This window comes from Homo sapiens, chromosome 2 (genome assembly GCF_000001405.40).
Source record: "Homo sapiens chromosome 2, GRCh38.p14 Primary Assembly".
NCBI lineage: Eukaryota > Metazoa > Chordata > Mammalia > Primates > Hominidae > Homo > Homo sapiens.
Window position 1 is genome coordinate 211,227,928 of NC_000002.12, and position 2,113 is coordinate 211,230,040.

At 44.8% G+C, this 2,113-nt stretch overlaps 2 annotated features.

The window, feature by feature from the left end:
- Positions 241–1,032: an enhancer, noted in NCBI's record as "H3K27ac hESC enhancer chr2:212092893-212093684 (GRCh37/hg19 assembly coordinates)". NCBI's record gives its function as "activates a minimal SCP1, AML or CMV promoter by ChIP-STARR-seq in primed H9 embryonic stem cells {active_cell/tissue: H9 hESC(primed)}" and the evidence as "EXISTENCE:reporter gene assay evidence [ECO:0000049][PMID:30033119]".
- Positions 1,033–1,824: an enhancer, noted in NCBI's record as "H3K27ac hESC enhancer chr2:212093685-212094476 (GRCh37/hg19 assembly coordinates)". NCBI's record gives its function as "activates a minimal SCP1, AML or CMV promoter by ChIP-STARR-seq in primed H9 embryonic stem cells {active_cell/tissue: H9 hESC(primed)}" and the evidence as "EXISTENCE:reporter gene assay evidence [ECO:0000049][PMID:30033119]".

Here is a 2,113-nt window from a genome sequence, read left to right on the forward strand (position 1 = left end):
AGTTGTTCATACTTTTGGTGTCAAATATCCCATATGGGAAAATTTATAGAAACATAAGGTAGATTAAAGGTTAACAGAAACTCCAGAGAGTGGAGAATGGGAAGTTAGTGCTTAATGTTTAGAGTTTCTGCTTGGGGTGATGAAAACGTTATGGAAATAGATGATGCTGATCATTGCACAACATTGTGAATATAAATATTGTCGCTGAATTGTGAATTTAAAAATAGTAAAATGGAGGAGGAAGTGGAGTAAGATGGCTGATTAAATTGCTCCAGTGATCATTGTCTCCCACGGAGGAACACCAAATTAAACGACTGTCCACACAAGAAAGCACCTTCATACGAACTAAAAATCAGGTGAGCAATCACAGTACCTGATTTTAACAACATATCAAGGAAACAGACACTGAAAAGCAAAGGAAAGACAGTCTTGAATTGCTGAGACCACCCCTCCCCAAGCCCTGGCAGTAGCTACCTGGCAAAGACAGAATCTCTGTGCTTGATGGTGGGGGAGCACAGTGATTGGTGATTGTGGACTTTCCACTGGGACTCAAGTGCTGTCTGTCACAGCAGAAAGCAACACAGCAGAATTCAGCCAGCACCACAAAGGGAGCATTTAGACTAGCCCTAGCCAGAGGGGAGTCACCCATTCCAGCAGTTAGAATTTGAATTTTGGCTAGCCCCACCACCGTGAGCTAAAGTGCTCTAAGGAACTAAATAAACGTGAAAGGCAGTCTAGGCCACAAGGACTGCAATTCCTGGGCAAGTCCCAGTGCTGTGCTGGACTCAGAGCTAGTGGACTTGAGCACATGACCCAGTAGTAAGTCACTAGCTGGGGCAGCCAAGGGAGTGCTTGCATCATCCCTTCTGGAACCCCAGGTAGAACAGCACACAACTCTGGGAGAGACTCCTTCTTCCTGCTTGAGGACACTAGAGGGGAGAGTAAAGAGGACTTTGTTTTGCAATGCGGATACCAGCTCAGCCACTGTAAAATTTGATGCCAGGCAGAGTCCTAAGGCTGATTCCAGGCCCTAGACCTCAGATGACATTTCTAGACATACCCTGAGCCGGATAGGAAACTACTGCCTTGAAGGAAAGGGTCTAGTTCTGGCAGGATTCATCATATGCTGACTAAAGAGCCTATGAGCTTTGAAAAATATCAGCAGTACCCAGAGAGTACATGCCATGAGCCTCGGGTAGAACCCTGAGCCATGCTGGCTTCAGGTGTCACTCAGCACATTCCCAGTTCTGGTGGCCACAGGGAGAAACTCGTCTTGCTTAAGGCAAGGAGAGGGAAGAGTAAAGGGAACTTGGTCTTGCAGCTTGGTCACCAGATTGAGGTAGAGCACCAAGGAGGCTCCTAGGGCCTTTGATTTCAGGCCTTGGTTCCTGGAAAGCATTTCTGGACCTGCCCTGGGCCACAGGGGAGCCCACTGCTCTGAAGGGAGAGGCCTGGCAGTATTTACCACAAGCTGAGTGAAGAGACCACGGGCTTTGAGTAAACATTGGCAGTAGCCAGGCAGTACTCACCACAGACCTGCGTGGTGGTGGCACAAGAAGAGACTCCTTCTGCATTAGGAAAGGAAGGGAAGAGGGAAAAGGACTTTGTCTTGTAGCTTGAGTACCAGCTCAGCCCCAGTAGAATAGTGCACCAGATACATTCCTAAGGTTCCCAACTCCAGGCCCTGGCTCCCAGATTTTTGGTCCTGCCCTGCACCGAAGAAGAGCATACCATCCTAAAAGGAAGAACACAAGCCTGGCTGGATTCACCACCTGCTGATTGAAGAGCGTTTGGGTGACTACAGTCAACAATAATTTACTGTACATTTTAAAATAACTTAAAGAGTATAATTAGAATGCTTGTAACACAAAGAAATTATAAATGCTTGAAGTAATAGATACCCCTTATACCCTGATGTGATTATTATATATTGCATGCCTGTATCAAAATAGCTCATGTATCTCATAAATACATACACCTACTATGTACCCACAAAAAATTGAAAATAAAAAAATGGTTAAAATGGTAAATTTTATGTCAAGTATATTTTATGACGTTAAAAACAGTTTAAAAATTGCCAAAAAAGTAGCACAATTTTTGGGGGGTTTTGTTT